Below are 22003 nucleotides of genomic sequence, written 5' to 3'. Positions count from 1 at the left end.
TTCTTTTTGATGCTGTTGCAAATAGAACTGTTGTCTTAATTTCACTTTCAGACTATTCATTGCAAAAGAATAGAAATATAGTCGATTTTGGTATATTGATCTTGTACTCTACAACTTTGCTGAAGTCATTTATTCTAATAGTTTTTTAGTGAATTCCTTATGATTTTATAAATACATAGTTATGTCACCCATGAATAAGATACTTCTTCCTTTCCAATTTAGATCTTTTTATATATTTGCTTGCCTACTTGCCTTGGCTGAAATCTCCAGCACCACATTGAATACAAGAGATGACTCGTTTCTGATCTTAAGGGGAAAGTGTCCTGTCCAGTCTTTCATGATTAACTATGATGTTAGCTGTGGGTGTTTTATAGCTAACGTTTATGGGTTGATGAATTTCCTTTTCATTCCTAGTTTGTTGATGGGTTTTTTTAATCATGAAAGGGTGTTAGATTTTGTCAAATGCTTTTTCTACATTTATTGAGATAATAATGTGATTTTTGCTTTTTATTCTATTAATTTGATAAATTACATTAATTGATTTTCAGCAGTTAAGCCAATTTGTATCTCTGGGATAAATCCTACATTGTCATGATGTATAATTCTTTTGATATGTCGCTGGATTCTTTTTGTGAATATTTTGTTGAAGATTTTTGCATCCATATTCATAAGAGATATTGGTCTGTAGTTTTCTTATGACGTCTTTGTCAGTTTTGGTACCAGGGTAATGCTGGCCTCAGAAAATGAGTTGGGAAATGTTCCCTCCTCTTCTATTTTTGGAAGAGTTGGAGAAGTATTAGTATTATTTCTTCTCTGAGTGTTTGATAGAATTCAGTAATAAAAACATCTGGGCATAGGCTTTTCTTTCTGGCTAGGTTTTTTTTAAATTACTAATTCATCTTTTCACTTAAAAGATTTGGAATTTTATTTTTAATGGACATATTGTAATTGTATGTATTTATGGAGTACAATTTAACATTTTGAGACAAATTTATGTTGTATCATGATCCAATCAGTGTTGTTAGCCTATCCATCACCTCATGCATTTATCATTTCTTTATGGTGAGAATGTTCAAAAGCATTTCTTCTAGCTATTTTGTGATATACAAGTCTTTATTGTTAACTATAGTCATTATACTGTATAATAGAACATCAGAACTTATTCCTCTCATTTAATTGTAACTTTGTACCCATTGATCAACTTCTCCCCATCCTCTCCTCCCCCCTCCTTTCCCCAGTCTCTTGTAACTACTCTTGTAAAAATATTATTCAATTCCCTGCCTCTATGACATCGACTTATCTCTCTCTCTCTTTTTTTTAAAATATTCCACATGGGTGAAATCACTGGTATTGGTCTTTCTGCGTCTGGCTTATTTCACTTAACCTGATGTTCTCCAGGTTCATCTATGTTGTTGCAAGTGACAGGATTTTATTCCTTTTTTTGTGGCTGAATCGTATTGCATTGTGTATGTATACCATATTTTCTTTATCCGTTCATCCATTGTTGGACACTTAGGTTGATTCTATATCTTGGCTATTGTAAGTAGTGATGATGCAATAAACATGAGAGTACAGATATCTTGTCAACATACTGTTTTCATTTTTTTTTTTTGGATATATACCCAGTAATGGGATTATTGGATCATGTGGTTCTTCTATTTTTAACTTTTTTGAGGAATCTCCATACTGTTTTTCATAATGGCCATACTAGTTTGCACTCTTACCCATAGTGTGCAAGTGTTCCCTTTTCTCTGCATCCTTGCCAACACTTCTTTTGTTTTTTTGATGATGGCCATTCTAACTAGAGCAAGATGGTATATTTCACTATGGTTTCGATTTGCATTTCCCTGATGATTAGTGATGTTGAACTTTTTTTTTCATCTGTCTGTTAAACCATTTGTATGTCTTCTTTTGAGAAATGTCTGTTAAGGTCTTTAGCCAATTTCTTAATCGAGTTATTAGTTTGCTTGTTTGTTTTTGCTGTTGAGTCATTTAATTTTCTTATATATTCTAAATATTAACCCCTTGTCAGATGTATAATTTGCAAATATTTTCTTTTATTATGTATGTTGTATCTTCATTCTGCTAATAGTTGTCTTTGCTGTGCAAAAGTTTTTGTTTGGGCAAAAGTTTGACGTAATATTATTTGTCTATTTTTGCTTTTTCTGCCTATGCTTTTGAAGTCTTAAAGAATTCTTGCCCAGCCTAAAGTTGTGAAGAATTTCCTCTGTTTTCTTCTAGCAGTTTAATCAATCTTTTCACTTTTTATATGTCTATTTAGATTGTCTATTTTTTCTTGAGCCAGTTTTATGGGTAATCTTTTTATTTTCACCCTTTTTGTGACTTTGAATAGAAAAATGTGTATTTTGTTGATAGAAGATAGTTAGATCCATTATCCATTTTGCCAATCTCTGTGTAACAGAGTCTGATTCCGTTTTGATGTTTGACTACTGGCAGGTTTTAAACTACACTACTCCTGTCTTCCTTTTTGCCTCATTTATAGGCCAGCTGATAAGAAAGCCTTCCTTAACACTGGTGGAAAGTTTAAGCCATACAAGCCCTGATCATTCATAGGAACCACCACCTCAGTCTCACTCCCTAACCACCATAAAATCCTAATCTCCCTGCTGTCCCAAGCTATTATTGGACCTGCTCAAGAGCCTGCCAAGCTCTCCCAAGAACTCCTCATTATGTAAATAATAGAATCTGGCTCTTAATGTATGTGTAGTATCATCAGCCTTGATAGCTGAGCAAATTTGGGGTGGGTGGATTCACCCTGTTTCTGCAGAATGGCCACCACACTCCGGCTTTTGATGGAAATGTTTAGTCTAATTAAATTTAATGTAATACATTTAATGCAATTACTGATATGTTCAGATTGACATTTGCCATTTTGCTAACTATATTTTGTATGTCATATCTTTTTTGTTTCTTACTACTTATATGTCTTATACATTTTTATATTCTTACTGCTTTCTTTACTGCTTTTATATTTTTTACAGAGTACCATTTTTGGTCCCTCATTGTTTTTTTAATCATATTTTTGGGGTGATTTTCTTAGTGGTTGCCCAGAAAATTACAATTACCATCTTAATTTAAAATAATCTAGTTCAGATTAATATTAACAATTTCAGTAGTATACAAAAACTTTGTTCCAATATAGGTTTGTTCTCTTCCCCTTCCTTCATGCTATTATTGTAATATAAATTGCATCTTTACATATTATAAACTCACTAGTGGTGCAGCTCTATATTTACTGCTTTATGCAGTAATATGAGATATGAGAAGAAAAGATTCACAAACAAAAAATACTTGCATATTTTCTATGTATTTACTTATGTCATTGCTTTTTCTGGTACTCTTTATTCTATCTATCAGGTGATTTCAAGTTACTGTTTAATGTCTAACATGAAGGTTTCTTTAATATTTCTTGACAGATATGCTAGTGATTAATTCTTGTAGTATTTTATATTCTGGGAATACCCTAATTTCTTCTTAATTCTTGAAAGGTAGCTTTTGTGGATTTAAAATTCTTGGTTAATGATCTGCACATTGAATATATCATCCCACTGCTTTCTGGCCTCTATAGTTTCTGATGAGAAGTCAGCTGTTAATTGTATTGAGCATCCCTTATATGTGATGAATAACTTTTGTGCTACTCCTTTCAAGATTCTCTCTTCATCTTTGGCTCTCAACAGTTTGACTATAATATGTCTAGGTGTAGATCTCTTTGAATTTATCATAATTTGGAGTTTGTTGAACATGTTGAATGTGTATATTAATGCTTTTAAAATCAAATTTGGGAAGTTTTGACCATTATTTGTTCAAATATTCTTTCAGTCCTTGTCTATATCTTCACCATAGGGTATTTCATTTGATCCCATGGCTTTAAATGGACTCCATATACCTATGATGACCAAAGTCATATCACCAATCCTGACCCTCCAGACACATATTCAGCTGCCATCTTGACCTCAGTTTTGAACATCTAATAGACAGCTCAAATGAACCATTGATTTCCATCTCCAAACCTATCCTTCCCCCAAGACTCCCCTACTCCTTATTGGCAACTCTATCCATCTAATTGCCCAAGCCAAAAACCTGGGAGTCACCTGCAACTTCTCTCTTTTCTGCAGTTACCTATCTGATCCATCACCAAGAACTATTTTGTCCAAAACAGTACATTTTAGACTTAGCATCCAAACTATATTGCTAATCTGTTGACTTTTCTCCACTTCTGTTGCACCTCCAGTCCTAGGCACCATCCTCTCTTCTAGACTACTGTAATTATTCTGCTAACTGACCTCTTTGATTCTACTCCTTCTTTCTATATAATCAATTCTTCATGGCAGCCAGAGTGCTCTTTAAAACATAGACCAGATCAAGTTACTTCCTTGCTTGAAGCCCTCCAATGGCTTTCCACTGTACAAAAATAAAAATTAAAAATAAAAAGGAAGCCACACTTCTTACCTTGACCCGCTACACCCCATGTATCCAGCTCCTGTCCACCTCCGAGCCTTATCTCATATTCCTTCCCATTCCTTCTACTCCAGCCATATTGGCCTTCTCTCTGCTCCTGGAACATACATCAGGCATCCACACACAGGGGCCTTTGCACTTGCCAGAATTATCTAACTTTATAGCTCACACATTACCTCTTTGCAGTCACCTTTTCTGCATCTCTAAATAATTTATATTCCCTCACTCCACTCCTTACCACTCCAAGATGTCCCTCCACTGTGTTATCTTAGTTACAGATATAACAAAAACATTTTCTTATTCATAATTTATGATTTTACTTTGCATTGCTCCTCTCTACTTTTACTCTTAACTCTAATATCAGAATTCCTGTACTGTTAATGGTGCCTGGCACCTACTAGGCTTCAGTAAACCGATTTGGGGTGAATAAGTGAGTGAATGGGTACATTTTACTTTTCAGCTTACTTTAAGTGAGAAGGAGGGCTGGGCATGCAGGGATGCAGGTCTACCCCCTCCACAGTACATTTTCAACATGGGAAGAAGTTGCTGCCCTTCCCACAGTGACTGCATTTCATGCCTTTCTCTCTGCTTACTGGCATGTCCTTATCAGTGGGAGTTCTGAAGAGAAGACACAATTCTTGTTCATGGAGAAAAGTTATCTTTCTTGAGAACACATAGAAGTTGGAGAACAACCTAAGGCAAAAGGTTTACTGGGATGGATGGAATTGAGGGCAAACATGTTTGGGTTAGACCAGTGGTCCCCAAGCACTGGCCAGCTCCATCAGAGTCCCCCAAGAAAGCTTGGAAGCAATTCACGTTTAGTAGACTGAGCTCTGGAAATTCAGAGTTGAGAAACCTGAAGCAGGGCTCAGGAATCTGAATTCTTATAAAAGTTTCCCAGAGGATACTGATAATTGACAGGATTGGGAACCTCTGGTCTGTCTCATTTGATCCCATGGATTTAAATGGAATCCATATACCTATAATGACCAAGGGCCTAGGCCAAGAGACTTGGGGATGACTCAGCTCTTGATTGGTGTGTGGTAGGATTTAGATAGTTGGGAGGAAGGGGGAAGGTCAGCCCAGATGAGAACTAGAAGGAGAGGAGGAATCAGAGCTTAGAAGTGGGAGCAGCAGGGCTAGGGATGGGAAGCAGGGGGCTGTCAGCAATGATGTCCCTCTCTCTGCCTGCCAGTGGCCCGGTACCATGTGACTGTGTGCACAGGTGAACTTGAAGGTGCTGGGACCGATGCCAACGTCTATCTCTGCCTTTTTGGTGATGTGGGGGACACGGGGGAACGGCTGCTCTACAACTGCAGGAATAACACAGACCTGTTTGAAAAGGGCAATGTAAGTTACAGCAATGTGCCCCACTCATCCCCTTCCTCCCAGTTCCCTTCCCATGTTCCCTCGTCTTCCCTGCCCTGTTAAAGTTGAGCTGATGCTGGTCCTGGGGCCTCAGCCATCAGGAGCCTCACTCTGGGTAAGGGGGCGGGGAACTGGGGAATCCCAGCAGAGCCACTGGGAGGGCACAGCAATGCCTAGTGTATTTGGTTCCTGAGTATCTGGCCCGCCCTGATTCACTAATATGCATGGACACCTGTTGGACTCCTGGGACTGTACAGCAGGGAGTTGAAGAGCCACCTTAGAGGGATTATGGTTCTCCCCCACCCCTGAGCTTTGAGAAGAGAGCAGAACAGAAGGACACTGGGAAGCAGCAGCAGCATCTTTCTTACCTCAGGGGTGGGCGGAGAGGGAAAGATGCCGGGCACTGTGGACTAGAGGACCTGGGCTGGAGAAAGCTGGGCCCCCAGGGGCCAATGTGGGAACTTGGCATTCTCCCCTATGGCATGACCATTGCAGGCATCTTGTTCATGACCTTTAGGAAAGAGAAATCAAGAAAGACCCTAAAGATGGGGTGGGAGAACTTGCTTCTGTTGCTAGCCTCATTACAGTTGTGTTGGGTGTTCCCCCTGTTTCCCCAGCCATCACATGGGTGTTCTGGGGAGGAGGCTGTGGAAGCAGTGGGGAAAGAGCTAGGCAAGTTTGAGGCAAACCCAGCCTTGGGCTACCTGCTTCATTCTCCTGAGCCTCAGTTTCCTCATGCCTGAAATGGGGAAAGGATGCCTACCTGTGGTGGGCTGTTGTGAGCATTAGGGGCAGTGGATGTACCGTCTCTGAGGTCAGATCTGGCCCACAGCACACAGTGGATGCTGAGTACAGAGTCGTTGTTGCAGTGAAGTGAGGCCAAGGGAGCTCAGCAGGGTGAAGGGGATTTGCAGACAACTGCTCTATCTCCTTCCTCTGCCACGACTTCCTTGGTGAGGTCAGGGAAAGCCCTGGAATTCCAGTGAAGGCCTCTCTCTGAGGCCAATCCAGGCTGGCTCGATTCTTGGGATCATGGCCATTTGAAGGCTGCAGTGGCAAAAAATAATCTGAGCAGGATGTTGTGGGTGGACTCAGGTTCATTTGAGGAGAGGAGGTAGCGATGCCTTTACTTCACATAGCTTTTTAAATTTCCTCTCTCCTTCCCACCCACCCACCTTTCTCTCCAGCCTTCCCTACTCTTTACTCCTACATCTTCTGACGCCTTTGTCCATCAATCCCACCTTCAGTGTTTCTGTCCCTGAAGGCTCCCAGGTGTGCTCATGTACACTTGGAAACTCTGTTGCCCCTACTGTTATGCTGCCTCAGTGGTGAGCAAAACTATACAATTAGCAAGGCTACTTAGTCCCCGTAATCAATTCTAATCATTTCCCTCCTTGGAAGGGGCCCAGTATCCCTCTAGAGCAAGGAGCCAGAGGAGATTTGCCAAGGAATTAGCTCATGATAAATGATTGGTGACTGACAACAGCTTAACTTGTTTATTTTCCCAGAGGAAGCTGCCTTTTGAAAGGAGAGCTGGAAACTTGACATTGGATGATATTCCAGTGGAAGAAATTGGGGGTGGGTGTGAGCTGTGCTTTATAGGTAGCTCCTGTCCCATGTGTGAAAGAGGAGTTGCCTAACCCATCAGCTCTGGATTTTCTGATATCTGAGCTTATGTCTTCCCTTGGTGTTTGGGTCCTGGGGTAGCCACTGTCTAACTGGCCTTGTGGTTTCCCCCCACAAGGCTGACGAGTTCACTATCGAGTCTGTCACCATGCGGAATGTGAGGCGGGTGAGGATCAGACACGATGGCAAAGGCTCCGGCAGCGGCTGGTACCTGGACAGAGTGCTGGTGAGAGAGGAGGGGCAGCCTGAGAGCGACAACGTGGAGTTCCCATGTCTCAGGTACATGCGTCCTGCCTGCTGGTGTTTTCTCCAGCTTAGGTTATGATCCCTGTGTTTTGGGAAGACCCAGCCCTACTACCATGACCAGCAAGCAAAACAGTGGCTTAAGGCTATAGCTGGTGCAAGAAAGAGGTGACCTCGCTGGTGGTGCTTAGACCTGAGCCTCACATTCCCTTCTCACCCCCTACCACCGTGATGAACACCACTGTGGTGTGTTCCGGTGTGCTGCTAGTTTCCTCTATTTAAGCAACAAAATGTGGGTGCTTGTTCATGATAAAATTTGGCAATTCCTGAATTTAGGTGAAAGTTAGTTCAGAGAGTTAGTTGCAGATTGAATTAAACTTTTAAATCAAAAGTTTTTTTTTAATTTAAATAACTTTCTGACCATACCTCTTCCCTGTTAACTTCTTTTCAAGGTATCTTACCTTGTTTTCCTTTCTGCAATTTATTCATGAGATAAAGTTTCCTTTCTCTTTTTGCTTAAGCATTTGGGCTCCCATTGACTTAAAGAAGTCCCTGATAGAGAGATTTTAGAATGAGCAATACCAGTGTTTTTCATGTCATCATGGTGGCTCTCCACATTTTATGTGGCAATGTCTGGAGGATTCACACTGTATGATTGACTTGGGGCCTTGGACTGACCCGGCTCTGCAAATCTCAGTTCCAAGGCTGAGTTCTGTATGTAGAGATGAGTTGCTATGTGTCCACTTTATTAGGGCTGGTCCAGGGCTCCTCAAGGGTAGCTACACTGAGGACAGCCCTCCTTTGAGTGGATGAGGGTGAGTTGCACAGCTGCCCAGTAATGAGTGTGTTGCTCTTCCTCTTACCATGAACGCAGATGTACTCACATGCATGCCTGTGCCTACAGGCGCACACACACAGGCACACATCTGCTGCAGCTGAATTACTTAGCACCCCACCAACCCAGGCCCAGTAGTTTCCCAGCCACGGAGGGCCACTGGGAGGGCTCCATAGGTCAATGATTGTGAAACAGATTTTGTCAATGACAAAGAGCTCTACAGTCTTCTACATATAGCACTGTTTGTATTACAAGGAATTACATTGAAAAGGTAAGTAATAATGCAGGCAGCTCCAAGTGAGTGGCACTAACAGAGGGCAGGCCAGGCAGGCTTCCAGGAAGAGATGGAAGTGCACCTGGGCCTGGAAGGGAGGTCAGAGAGTGGACAGAGGGAGAGGAAAAGGGAGGGTGGGCCACCTAGGCTGAAGAAATGGCATGAGGCATGAGCAAGGGGCTGAGGGGTGGCTCATCCAGAGGTTGGCAAGGGGCGCCTGGCATGTGGGGAAGGAGTGAGAAGGCTGGGGTGGGAGAGGGTGGAGTGTGAACCCTCATTCTCCTAAGCCACGGGGGAAGCGGGGTGTGGGGGAAGAGTACAGCCTCGCTTCAAGTCATTACTGGCGTTTTCACCCCCATCCTGGATCAGAGGCTGACTGGCTGGATGCCAGATGGAAGAGCTTGCATTGTTTTATTCCTATCTACTCAAAATATATTTATACCTACTATATACTTACTCCCTGTCCTCATGGAGTTTATAGTCTAGAGGGAAACTAGACTAAAAGCAAGTGAATAAAGCCAGAATGACACACTGTGAAGAGTGGCGTGGAGGAAACACACAACGGTGCAGGGGCTGGAGCCGGGGCTAGAAATGGGAAAGGCCTGCCTGCAGAGGGATGTTGAGGCTGGCCTCCTGTGGAATGAAGAGGAGAGCACCAGGGGAAAGGACTGGAGTGTTCTGGAGTCCAGCAAGACAGGCAGGTAGATGGAGGCCACTGTCCGGCAGGGCGAGGGAGACTCTTGCATGCGAGGAAGGCCTGTCTGGCCTCTGGGGATAGGACAGGGCCCAGGGAGGAGGGGAGAGCAGTAGGAGATTTTGGGGAGTTGATGACGGCATGTGTTCATGTTCCAGGGCTGTAACAAAGTGCACAGACTGGGTGGCTTAAATGACAGAAACATAATGTCTCACAGTTTCGGAGGCCAGAAGTCCAAAATCAAGGTGTCAGCCAGGCTGCACCCCTCAGAAGGCGCTAGGGAAGGATCTGACCCGGGCCTATGTCCTCACCCCAGCAGCCTCCAGAGTTCACTGGCTTGTGATTGGCCACCTTCTCTCTGCGCCTCCTCACAGCATCTTCCTCTATATATATCTGTGTCCAAATTTTCCCTTTTCATAAGGATACCAGTCAGATTAGATGAGGGGTCACCCTAATGACCTTATTTTAATTTGGTTACATTTGCAATGACCCTATTTCCAAATAAGGTCACATTCTGAGGTACCGGAGGTTAGGACTTAAATGTATGAATGGGGTGGGGTGGGGGGACACAATTCAGTTCACCACATAGCAGCTTGGCCCTTAGTGGTGGCAGTGAAGGTGGTGAGACGGGGCTTATTGTACACCAGAGAGGACCCTGGAGGGACAGTTCATGGGCCTTGCCCATAAGAGACAGAGAAAGGGCCAGAACTGAAAGCCCCAGGCTTTTGCCTTTGATAGGTGGGTTGAAGGTCATGCCCTTTACTGAAATGGGGATCCTGGGGAGGGAGAGCTGAGGGGTGGGGACGAGGTTGGACTCTGGAGGTCTAGTTGGGATGTGTTTGGTTTTCAATGCAGAGTTAGGCCTTGAGAAATGAATTCAGAGAATAAGAGCATAGAGCTAGAATTTAAAGCCAGGGAACTGCAGGGGATCCTTTAGGGAGAGTGTGGATAAAGAAAACAGTGAGGGCCGAGCCCTGGGGCAGGCCAGGAGAAGGAGCCTGGAAAGGGGAAGAGGAAGAAGTTGGTGTGTGCACACTGCATTGTCACATGCATGGTGCTGGGGGAGCTGGGAACCAGAAGTCTAGCCGTCCACCTGCTGTGTGACTTTGACCCAATCCCTTGTCTGGTCTTCTGCACCTTCCTGGCCAGCATGTGTCTTATGGTGAGGTTGAGGGTATTGTACTTTGAAAGGAGCCCATTAAAGACACAGTGGTGCTGATGATGCTGATGGCTGGGCGGAAGAGAAGCGGAGGCCTCAAACACTCCAGAGTCCTCCCTGCCCCCAAACACTTAACAGTGCATGCATTTTTTTTTTTTTTTTTTTAGAAAATGGGTTCTTATGTCTTGCTGACACATGTAGTGATGGCATTTGCCAACTCAGGACCCAGGGGACTTGGAAAAATCAGGAACTGGAGCCTGAGCATGCACACTGCTTCTTTCTTCACCTGAGCTGTTATTTTAACTCTGTTGGAGAGGAGGACAAACCAGGTCTATTTATCAGAATTTCTGCTAGGATCAGGTGTGTGTGTGTGTGTGTGTGTGTGTGTGTGTATGTGTACACACACACACTCCTGTGAGCTCAGAGAAAGAGTAATAAAATCACCACCAGACTGACTTATCCTTTTAGCAACATCTCACTCTGAAACTGGGCTGAAGTGTTTGAAGCTGAAAGAAACTGGCTATATTTGGAAATATCTATTAATACCCTGAAAGTATTTAGGTGGAAACAAAATGACAAGTCATGGTTTCCTTTTGCTGCTGGGGAGGGCCTGGGGGTGGATAAGTGGTGGAGAATGAAGGGAGCACAGGTAAGATTTTCAGATGGCCGAGGGCTTGCTGACTCTCCACACTTCACTGCCCTGTGAATGCGTTGCCCAGGCCTACTTCTCAACCTTCTCCTCTGCAGTCTCCATGCCAGGGTGACCTCAGCTGGACAGATGGAGTGGGAGGCTGTTAACGGGTTGATTTCAGGGACTCCAGCAGCCCTGAGTTCCCAAATCCCCCTGTCATTAATGCCTAGGATTTCACCATTGCATGCTCATGTCTTGGAGTCTCCAATGGTTTTCTTATGTTCTAGATTCACAGCACCAAAGCCCTTGGGAAAAATAACAGCCTAGTTGTCGTCTAACATTTTAGTGTTAGCTAATAGCCAACTGAGAGCAAGGTCTCATGGGAATGTCAGATCTTGTGTTTTGGGAAGGAGGATGTAAGAGAAGGTTTGGGAGAGACCACAGCATTGCCTCCGTCAGCCTTGGGGAGAGGGGTGGTCTATTAGCAGAGAGTATTGCAGTTTGGGGATGCCTGAACTCCATGCCAGGGAGGCTATGGAGGAATTAGTGTCTTGGCTTCTTTTACAGGCTCTGTAGCCAGGGAGTTGCCTCCCTCTCAGTAGGGTAATGGAGTGGGCTGCAACAACCAGTACCAAGACATAGACAAATGGGAGGTGGTTTGGTTGAGAGACAAATGTCTTGTTTTCCTCAGTATCCTGGGGAACAATGAACGGTATCTATTCTGCTGCCATGGGCCCCGTCATAAACCATCCTGAGTGCTGGGGCTTAGAAAACTCATGCTTGCATGATTGATTTCTCAGGCTGAGTCTCCGTGCCCAGTGTGATAGGTGCTTTTCAGGTAAATTGCCCCATACCTTTCCGCCTGGTGGATGACCAGCCGAGAGCTGGGACCGTGGCTCACTCCAACATGTTGAAGAGTCACAGCTATCAAACCGCAGCCCTGCAGAGCACAGCCCCAGCTTCTCCTGGAAGGCAATTCTCATTTATCTCTGAGGACTCAGATCACTGAGCCCTTCTCATTTCCCTCAACTCTTGCAGCACTTACTCTGGTCCAATACCTATCCTGGTCTTGGTCCTCAGTGCCTCAGCTGGTCTATCCTGTCTTTTTTTTTTTTTTTTTTTTTTTTGAGACGGAGTCTCACCCTGTCGCCCAGGCTGGAGTGCAGTGGCGCAATCTCTGCTCACTGCAAGCTCCGCCTCCTGGGTTCACACAATTCTCCTGCCTCAGCCTCCCGAGTAGCTGGGACTACAGGCGCCCACCACCACACCTGGCTAATTTTTTTGTTTTTCAGTAGAGACGGGGTTTCACTGTGTTAGCCAGGATGGTCTTCATCTCCTGACCTCGTGATCCACCCGCCTGGCCTATCCTGTCTTCTTAAGCAGGCTGCCGACAGCCTGGGCTGGGCCTTACGTATCCTAGCATATGTTCTCTGCCATCTCCCCACCCCAGAGCCCTCAGCACAGTGCCATGAGGATGGAAAGCTCTTAGAAAAAGAGGTGCTTGTTTTCTATGCTAATGATGGCTTTCAGGACAGACTTTTGACAGTGATTGCCAAGGCCCTATATCATGTGACCTGTCCCCTCTCCAGCTTCCTCTGCCAGCTCTCTACCTGTTGTTCACTGCATCCCATCCACATGGTCCTGTTTCAACTCCTGCGGGCTCTGTTCCATCCCAGGATATGTTGCTTCCTCTGGGATACTCTTCCTTTTTCTCCTGGTCTCCTTCCCAAGACCATGTGACATCATCCTACCCATTCCCCAAGGAGTTCCCTGCCCTCCTTCCAATCTCAGCCAAACACCACTGCCTCCGGGAAGTCCTCCTTTCCCACTCCAGGCTAGGATGTTTTGCTAGATGCTCCCATAGAATCATTTCACTTTGCTAAAGTCAAAGCTCTGGGCCTCCATAGTGACTCTGCATGAATGGGTGAAGCTTTGATTGTCTGCCTGCTCCACCCAAAGAGCTAACATTCCCCCATTTGCCCACCAGGTGGTTGGACAAGGATAAGGATGATGGGCAGCTGGTCCGAGAGTTGCTACCCAGTGACAGCAGCGCGACACTGAAGAGTGAGTTGTCCTGATGACCAGGTGCTGGGTGTGCCCTTGGTGAGACAGGGGCCTTCCCTCAGCTAAGCCCTTCAAGAAAACACGAGCACTTCATGTTTCACAGAGGTGGCAGTGGGGAGGGAGGAGAGGGAGGCTCCGAGGGAGTGTCTGGAGAGTTCCTGCCTGTGCTCCTGCACACAGTCTCTTTGTGGCCTCAGGTGTGAGGCCCTGAATGCATATGGGTCAACGAGAGTGATGAGCAGTAATGCTGGCCAATGGTGCCAAGCATTGGCAGTACCTGTCATTCAGGCCTTAAGAAGAGAAATATTTTGAAGGGACTGTAAAATAGGGACTTTAAAAATGCCAAGTATCATCTTGGAGGCCTTAGAGTTTTCCTTACTGGTGACATTTCTTCCATTGCTTTGGTTTGATCATGAGCTTTAGACAAAATTAAAAGAAACTTATCTCTAGAATCCTTGACATTACCAACACCTCATGTTTGTCATTTATTATCTCATTTGAGCTCTGCAATAATCCCAGAAGATGGTCAGGGTTGATGTTGTCCATGGGTCAGATGGAGAAACTTAGAACCGGAAGAGCTGAAGATATTTTTATTTTTGTTTATTTGTTTATTTTTGAAACAGGGTCTTACTCTGTCAACGAGGCTGGAGTGCAGTGGTGTGATTTTGGCTCATTGCAGCCTCAGCCTCCTAGGCTCAGGTGATCCTCCTGTCTCAGCCTCCTGAGTAGCTAGGGCAATAGGTGTACATCACCACACCTGGCTAATTTTTATATTTTTTTTCTACAGATGGGGTCTCTTTATGTTGTCCAGGCTGGTCTCAAACTCCTGGGTTCAAATGATCCACCCACCTTGGCCACCCAAAGTGCTGGGATTAGAGGCATGAGCCACGGCACCCGGCAGCTAAAGATATTTGTATCTGACCTCTTCTAAGGTCAGACTGCTGACTTTGAACTAGAGTGTCCCATTTCTGGTCTCAGAATTACAGAATTTAAGATCTGGGAAGGATCCCAGGAGATAAGATGCCTGTGGCAAAAGGACCCCTATTCCCCCTCCACAACCCCAGCAAACCCAGTTGTGTAGTCAGTGATGGGGCTGGGACCAGTACCCAGGGTATCTCTGTCTATGTCACTGTCCTTCCCAGTCCAGCAAGCCCCTATTTCACCATGTGGACAGGACCTCCTGACCCCCTGCTTCCTCAGTCAGAGCGTCTGAAAGCGTTTAGATCAAGCTTGTCCAACCCACAGCCCGCACGCATGTGGCCCACGACGGCTTTGAATGTGGCCCAACACAAATTTGTAAACTTTCTTAAAACATAAAACTTTTTTGCAATTTTTTTAACTCATCAGCTATCATTTGTATTAGTGTATTTTTTGTGTGGCCCAAGACAATTCTTCTTCTTCCAGTGTGGCCCAGGGAAACCAAAAGATTGAACACCCCTGGTTGAGATGGAAAATAGTACAAGAAAGAGGTCTCCTTCCCAGTCTCTGCTGCTACATCTTTCAGCAAGAATAGAGGCCATTTCCTCAAGTGCCCTTGGGTGGCACTAATGGAGCTGATCTGGAGCAGACCTGCAGGTCTGGCCTTCTCCAGGGCTGGTCCCTAGGCAAGGTGTGCTCAGCTGACTTTCTCCAAATCCTTCTGCCTAGTGGGAGGACCCTACGGTGTCAGTGAGTGGCAGGCCTGGGAGTGAGCATCACTCACCTTTCCAGTGCTTCCTCCTCTTTGCCCAAGACACACACCCAGGAACAAGCCTGGAGGACTTGGGGTCTTGCCTTGTATTATTCCAGGACTCACCTTTTCCTCGGGTGTTTTTGTCCCTGAAGACCGATAATGCAGACATTCCTGGCTGATAAAATGGAGTGACACCCTCGTGGTGGCCCAGTGAAGAGCAGGGGGTTTCAAGTCCACATGAGAGTTTCACTCCTGGCGACCTCTTAACTGTTGCCATCTTGCACCAAACACATGACATTCTGAGGCTCAGATTCCTTGCCTGTGAAACTGGGGTCAGAATCCTTAGCAATAATACCATGTGTATAATGCTCTAGACACTGTCTGGAAAGGTTGATCCTTCCTTTGTCTCAGTTTCCTTGTCCACTGTCAGAGAAGCTAGACCAGATGATTGTGGGAAATCCTTTCAGGCTCTTATGTTTTGATGTTCTTGCTTGTGATTTACACGCTTTCCTGCTCTAAGCCCATTCACACCTTCTGGAGCAGACAGAGAACCTACTAGAATTCTGCCATTACAGTTGAGGAGACCTCACAGAGATGGAAGGAACCCCTGCCCCAAGTTGCAGGGCTGCTTAGAACAGGAGCCTGGATTTTCAATTCCCAGCGTGTGTTCCCCACAAACCTCCAGCTCCAGGCTGCCCTCCTATACACGCACCCTGCTTCCTGTCACCCCCTGCACTAACCCCTTCCCTTCCTCCCTCTGCCTTGGGCTGTTCAGACTTTCGCTATCACATCAGCTTGAAGACTGGGGATGTCTCTGGGGCCAGCACGGATTCTAGAGTCTACATCAAGCTCTATGGGGATAAATCTGACACCATCAAGCAAGTTCTTCTTGTCTCTGACAACAACCTCAAAGACTACTTTGAACGTGGCCGGGTGGATGAGTTCACCCTCGAGACCCTGAACATTGGAAATGTAAGTCTCCTTCCCAAGACCATGTGACATCATCCCACCCATTTCCGAACACACATTCACACGTGTCCACACACACATATGTCCACACACAGACACACACGCACACACTCATGTACATAAGGGTAAACACATTTTGAAGAGAAAAAGCACACTTGGGAATAGTGAGTGAGGTGTGTAGTTTTTTAGCTGTGACCTAGAGCAGCTGAAGATATGTAAACAGTAGTGATGCTTCCAGAGCCTCTTTGGGGCTGGAATGTGTATTTTTAGTGGCATTGCCTCAACATTTTATTTACCTACATATCCAAGACCAATGTACCTGGGTCACAGACACTGGAGAAGGAGACTGAACGCAGGGAAGGAAAAGAGAAGGGAGGACTAAGAAAAGGGGCTAAAAATACTTCCCAATTTCAAACTTGAGTGTGCATCAGAATTGGGGCCAGGAAGCTTGTTTCAGTGCACACTTCTGGGCCACACCTGAGAGATTCTGTCTTGGGAGATGGAACCCAAGAGCCTCCAGATCAAGGCTCCAGGTGACTCTGCTGCAAGTGGTCTAAGCACTTCATCAAAGAGAAAGCTGAACAGTAAAGCAGCAAAGACAGACTTTAATCAGTAATCTACCACTGCCATCAGGAAAAGAGGCCAGTGTGAACTGAACCCAACTTAGGTTTGTGCAGAGGTTTGCAAACCTCTTTAAAGGGAGGATGAGGGAATAAGGGGAGGGTAATCAAGGGCTCAGTAGAGTCAGGGGGAAAACATGAAAAGCAGTAATGGGGAGGTCAGCACATGTGGGTTGTGGAACCCATCTGGGTTTGCTAACTGATGCTTTATGGCATGAGGGTCTTATCCTTCAAGAGTCTGGCAGACAGAAGCCCTACCCTCAGGTGTTGGCTGGAACCAACAGTAAATTATTTTGACAGCCTTGAGTTTTCTAAGGCAAGCACAGTAAGGGGGATTAGGGTCACTCTAGGGATGTGGCCTTGAGCTGTTAGAAACTGTGTTAGTGTTTTGTTCAAGTCTTTATAGGCCAAGATTGAGGCTGAGAAAGGGTTCAGGAGCCTGGCTAGAGTTTGGCCAAGGTGAGAATCTTCCTTGACATCACCTGGAGAAACACAGTTCTAAATCTTGGACTTGAGGATTGGGGATGTCTCTAGAAATGCCTGAGCTGGGATTTTTGTTACTACCTGCTGCTCCCAGGGTGTGGCTTGGTGGAAATGGAGATGGTAACAAGCCCTCTACCTGGAACCTCATCTTTCCTGCCCCTTCCCTCTCTGGGAGTCCCACCCTATTTCAGGTCCTAGGAATCTCTTCTCCCATCAAAACTCACTCCAGGGAAAGATCTCATGTTAGTCATTTATACCTTGAGGTTAATGAACTTAAATCAATGTTTTCATTTATCAAGATGTATTTACATTTTAAGCTGAATCAATAATTGCAGAGTGAAAATGCTGTTCCCTTTACTAAAGGATTTTGGGCAGCAGCTGGCGGGTAAGTTAGACCTCTAGGAAGAGTAGGGTGGCAGTGGGAGGGCATTTAAGCTTCTTCCTGAGTTTCCGAAACCCCCTCAACAAGCAGCATGGCCAAGAGGCTGGGAGCATGGGCTCTGGCTGCCAACCGCATATTTGAGACCCATTTCCACTTACCTGCCATATGTAAGTTATTTAACCTCTGTTTGCCTCCGTTTTCTCATTCATAACAACATGAGATACTAATGGGGTTGCTATTAGTATTAAATATGTGAATAACACCCACATGCTCATACTAAGTGCTGAGTAAATGCTACTGAACAATTAGTCTATGTCAGGTGTGAAGTGTTGTAGAACTGAGCTAGTGTCTGCCCTTAGGGAGCATCCAGTCATATCAGACACTTACCTCTGTCTTTACCCTTTCAGCCAATCCCTCCCTGGGACTTTCATAGTCCTGGCACCACAGAAGAACAACAAAACTCTTCCCTGTCCCTTGACATGCACACAGAGGGCTCTCAGGCTTTGTAAGCTTAGCTGGTTTTCTTCTGATAATTCCAGGGGACTGGGCTGCATGCACTTAGCTCTGACGTTGTTGCCATTACCAGCTGCAAAGAGGCACTTAGGACTCAGAAGAGCAAGAGCAGGCTCGCATGGACAGTTTTCTAAATCTGGCCTTTTGGCACCAGACTCATGGCTAACATCACCTCTTCAAACCATTGCAGAGAGAATCTCAGGGCTGGAAGGGTTCTCAAAGGCCATCTGATAATTCCATCTGATGTTAAAATTGCTCTGTATACAGCATTTCAAAAAGAAAAAACATAAAAGCAATCCAAACATTGAAAAACCAAGTACATATAAGGATGGTGATATGATCATCTGCACTCCCCTCTATGTTGCCCATGGGGGCAAAGATGTTAAAATGCAAAATCGCAAAGCAATTATAGAGTGTTATTGGAAAAAGAAAAGTGTTCCTTGGGTCCAAGAGTGAGCAGAGGAATTGGACACAGAACCGCAGAGTCCTGAGAGGTTGCCTGCATAGTCTGTCACCTTCAGGATGGGTGATATTCTGTCACCTTCAGGATGGGTATGTTGAAGAAATGCAGAAATATATACAACTGTGTATTGTTCAAAACCAAACCAAATCAATAACACAGTTATTGGAAGGTGATGGCAAACATTTTAAACATTTGCTTTCTCACATGGCCATGACCTAACATGATTAAGTACTAGTGGAGCTTTCAAATTTTGTGTCACCTCCACTCCCCTCTTGTTTCTCACTATGGCCCTGGGAGGTGTGCTGGGCTTAGGAGAAGGGAATGGTGGCTACAGGCAGGTGAGGTGATGCCCTGGTGCCCCAGCTGGCTGATGGTGGGGCAGGAATGGGATTCCAGCTTTCCCATGGATCTTCCCTCTCCTGGGGACTGGAGACCTGGGTTGTGTTTTGTGCTGGTGTTTGGGGAGGTAGGGATGGGATCATGGAGGTTTCTACACACTGGCTCCTTGCTCACCCTCACTCGGGTTTCCTTCAGATCAACCGGCTGGTGATTGGGCATGACAGCACTGGCATGCATGCCAGCTGGTTCCTGGGCAGCGTTCAGATCCGTGTGCCCCGTCAAGGCAAGCAGTACACCTTTCCCGCCAACCGCTGGCTGGACAAGAACCAGGCTGACGGGCGCCTGGAGGTGGAGCTGTATCCCAGCGAGGTGGTGGAGATCCAGAAATGTATGGAGGAGGCTGTGGTGGGACCACCCATTGTTTCCCATGGGGGATGGGGCTGAGGGGAAGGAGGAGGGACCATGGGGCAAAGCAGGTCTTGCTGACAAGTGCTGCTGGTAGGGTCCTGCAGGGAGAAAATGGGGGCTTTCACTGCTTCTGGTACTATGGTTCTTGCAGGAAAGTAGGGCTCATTTTATAGATGAGGAAACTGAGGACCCAATGGATGAAATACTTTTTTGTGGAATAAAGGCAGCAAATGACTTTATTAGGAAATGCACACTCAACCCTGTATAGGAGTTTGAGACCTAGTTCATGTCTTCTGTGATGAAGACTGGCTGAGGAGACAAAACTCTTTATTCATTCATTTATTCAAAAAAAAATACACAGTCAGCCCTCCACATCCATGGGTTGTGCATCGGTGGATTCAATCGAGGATCAAAAACATTTGGAAAAAAATTACATCTGTACTGAACATATACAGACTTTTTTCCTTGTCATTATTCCCTAACAGTACAGTATAACAACTATTTATATAGCATTTACCTTGTATTAGGTATTATAAGTAACCTAGAGATATTTAAAGTGTATAGGAGGATGTGTGTAGGTTATATACAAATACTATGCCATTTTATATGAGGGGCTTGAGCATCCTCAGATTCGGGTATGCTTGGGGGTTCTGGAACCTGTCCCTGCAGATACTGAGGAATGACGGTCTATTGAGGGTTTCTCTCTGCCAGCACTGCTCTGAGCTTTGTGGAGGCAGCTGTGAGCAAAACGAACAAAACCCTTGCGCTCACAGGCTTTATATTCCACAGGGGAGACAGACAATAATAGGATAATGCGAATGAACAGCCAAGAGGAACATGAAACAGGATAAAGGGTTAGCAATGGTGTGGGGGAAGGGCCTTTTTGGATAGGATGGTGACATTTCTGAGGAGGAAGACAGTGGGACCAAAGCCTGGCACAGAGAATGTCCCTTCTCACCTCTGCATTTTTTTTTTTGAGACAGAGCCTTACTCTGTTGCCCAGGCTGGAGTGCAGTGGCACAATCTCAGCTCACTGCAACCTCCTCCCGGGTTCAAGCGATTCTCCTGCCTCAGCCTCCTGAGTAGCTGGGACTACAGGTGTATGCCCCCACACCCGGCTAATTTTTGTATTTTTAGTAGAGATGGGGTTTCACCATGTTGGCCAGGCTGGTCTCCAACTCCTGACCCCCAGTGATCCACCCGCCTTGGGCTCCCAAAGTGCTAGCATTATAGACGTGAGCCACTACGACTGGCCTCACCTCTGCATTTCTACATTGGCCCTGAAAGCAACTGCCCAAGGCTCACTTCCACAGCAGCTTCCCTGAGAGGGAACCCCAGTGTGAAATCACCTCTCCCGCTCCCAGAACTCTTTGAATATCTTTTCGTGTGTGTGTCTAATCTGAAGCAACCTGCAAGTTCCTTTAGGGCTGTTATATACACACGCTTTGTAATGGCACTTGCCAGTATAAGAATCAACTCCTTCCCTCATTTTATAAATCAACACTGGAATTCCATCAGAGTAGTATAGATACTAATCAAGAAGATAAAGATAAAGATAAAAAAGCAATAGTTCCCTTACCTACCTCTTCCCCTTACCCCAACCCCCCTTCTTCAATGCCAACAACCTTACTTTAGATTTTTCCTCTAAAATTTAGCTCCATATTTTTAAACAATATACCTATCAATTTTTATTTATTTAGTTTTTAGAGACAGGATGTTGCTCTGGCACCCAGGCTGGAGTGCAGTGACACAATCATAACTCATTGCAGCCTTGACTCCCAGGCTCGAGCGATCCCCCTGCCTCAGCCTCTTGAGTAGCTGGGACTACAGGCACGTGCCACCACACCCCTCAATTTTTATTTTTATTTTATTTTTGTAGAGATGGGGATCTTGTTGTGTTGCCCAGGCTGATCTTGAACTCCTGGCCTCAAGCAATCCTTCTGCCTCAGTGGATTTACAAAGCAGTGGAATTACAGGCCTGAACCACCGTGCCTGGCCTCAATTTTTTAATTTTACAGTCTTAGACGTTATCTATTGACTTCCTACTATGAAAGAGGATTTAGCTCTTTTAACATACACAAGCACTTGTATGGGCCCTCATGTGTGCGTGTGTGCGTGCACACACACACACACACACACACACTCTCTCTCTCCCCCTCCTTCCAGCCTTCAAAACATCTAAATCAGTGTTCAATTTTTATATTATTATGTCAATATTATTCACTGCTGAATCACCTGCCTTATGATAATTGCTTTTCGTCTTTTGTAGAGCTTGTTTTTTCTGGAGTGAGTCTCCTTTTTCGATGGATCGCTCTCTCTGCGCTCACTGCTCTCTGCATTACTGTGCTAGGGCTGCCTCATCACTGTGGACTCACCTGGTCTCTCCACATCCCTGGTGTCTCTCCACATCCCTGGTGTCTCTCTGTGTGCCACAATTTCCTTTTCTTATAAGGACGCCAATCAGCTTGGATTAGGGCCTGCCCTTGGGGGTCTCATTTAAACTAGTCACCTCTTTAAAGACTCTTATCTCCAGATACAGTTACATTCTGAGGTATTGGGGTTAGTGGCTTCAACATAAGCATTTTGGGGGGCCTAATCACTCCTTAAAGGTCCCACCTTTTAATACGGTTACAATGGCAATGACATTTCAGCATGAGTTTTGGAGAGGACAAACATGCAAACTGTAGCAGGCAGGCACACAGCAGGGATCGCCAGCTGGTATGTGACTCCTCCTCCTTCCTGGTGCGTGTGGTGCAGAGGATGACTGGGGTGTGTGTCTGA

The 22003-nt window shown here is 45.3% G+C and overlaps 1 protein-coding gene across 10 annotated transcripts in view; it reads left to right on the top strand.

Moving 5' to 3' along the window:
- The window catches only part of LOXHD1 (lipoxygenase homology PLAT domains 1), a 180260-nt gene that overhangs the window by 71762 nt on the left and 86495 nt on the right, over positions 1-22003 (top strand). For 9 of the 10 annotated variants that reach the window (NM_144612.7, NM_001384474.1, XM_047437289.1 and 6 more), the window contains 5 exons: positions 5675-5829; positions 7592-7752; positions 13297-13373; positions 15821-16017; positions 19010-19202. In NM_144612.7, coding sequence (NP_653213.6) covers positions 5675-5829; positions 7592-7752; positions 13297-13373; positions 15821-16017; positions 19010-19202 — 783 coding nt within the window. The remainder of the gene's footprint in view (positions 1-5674; positions 5830-7591; positions 7753-13296; positions 13374-15820; positions 16018-19009; positions 19203-22003) is intronic. The other variant, XM_011525804.3, reaches the window with a different exon arrangement.

Source organism: Homo sapiens, chromosome 18, assembly GCF_000001405.40.
Source record: "Homo sapiens chromosome 18, GRCh38.p14 Primary Assembly".
In the NCBI taxonomy this organism is placed as follows: domain Eukaryota; kingdom Metazoa; phylum Chordata; class Mammalia; order Primates; family Hominidae; genus Homo; species Homo sapiens.
The sequence above is the reverse complement of the archived record's forward strand: the minus strand, read 5'-3'. Positions and strand labels throughout refer to the sequence as shown.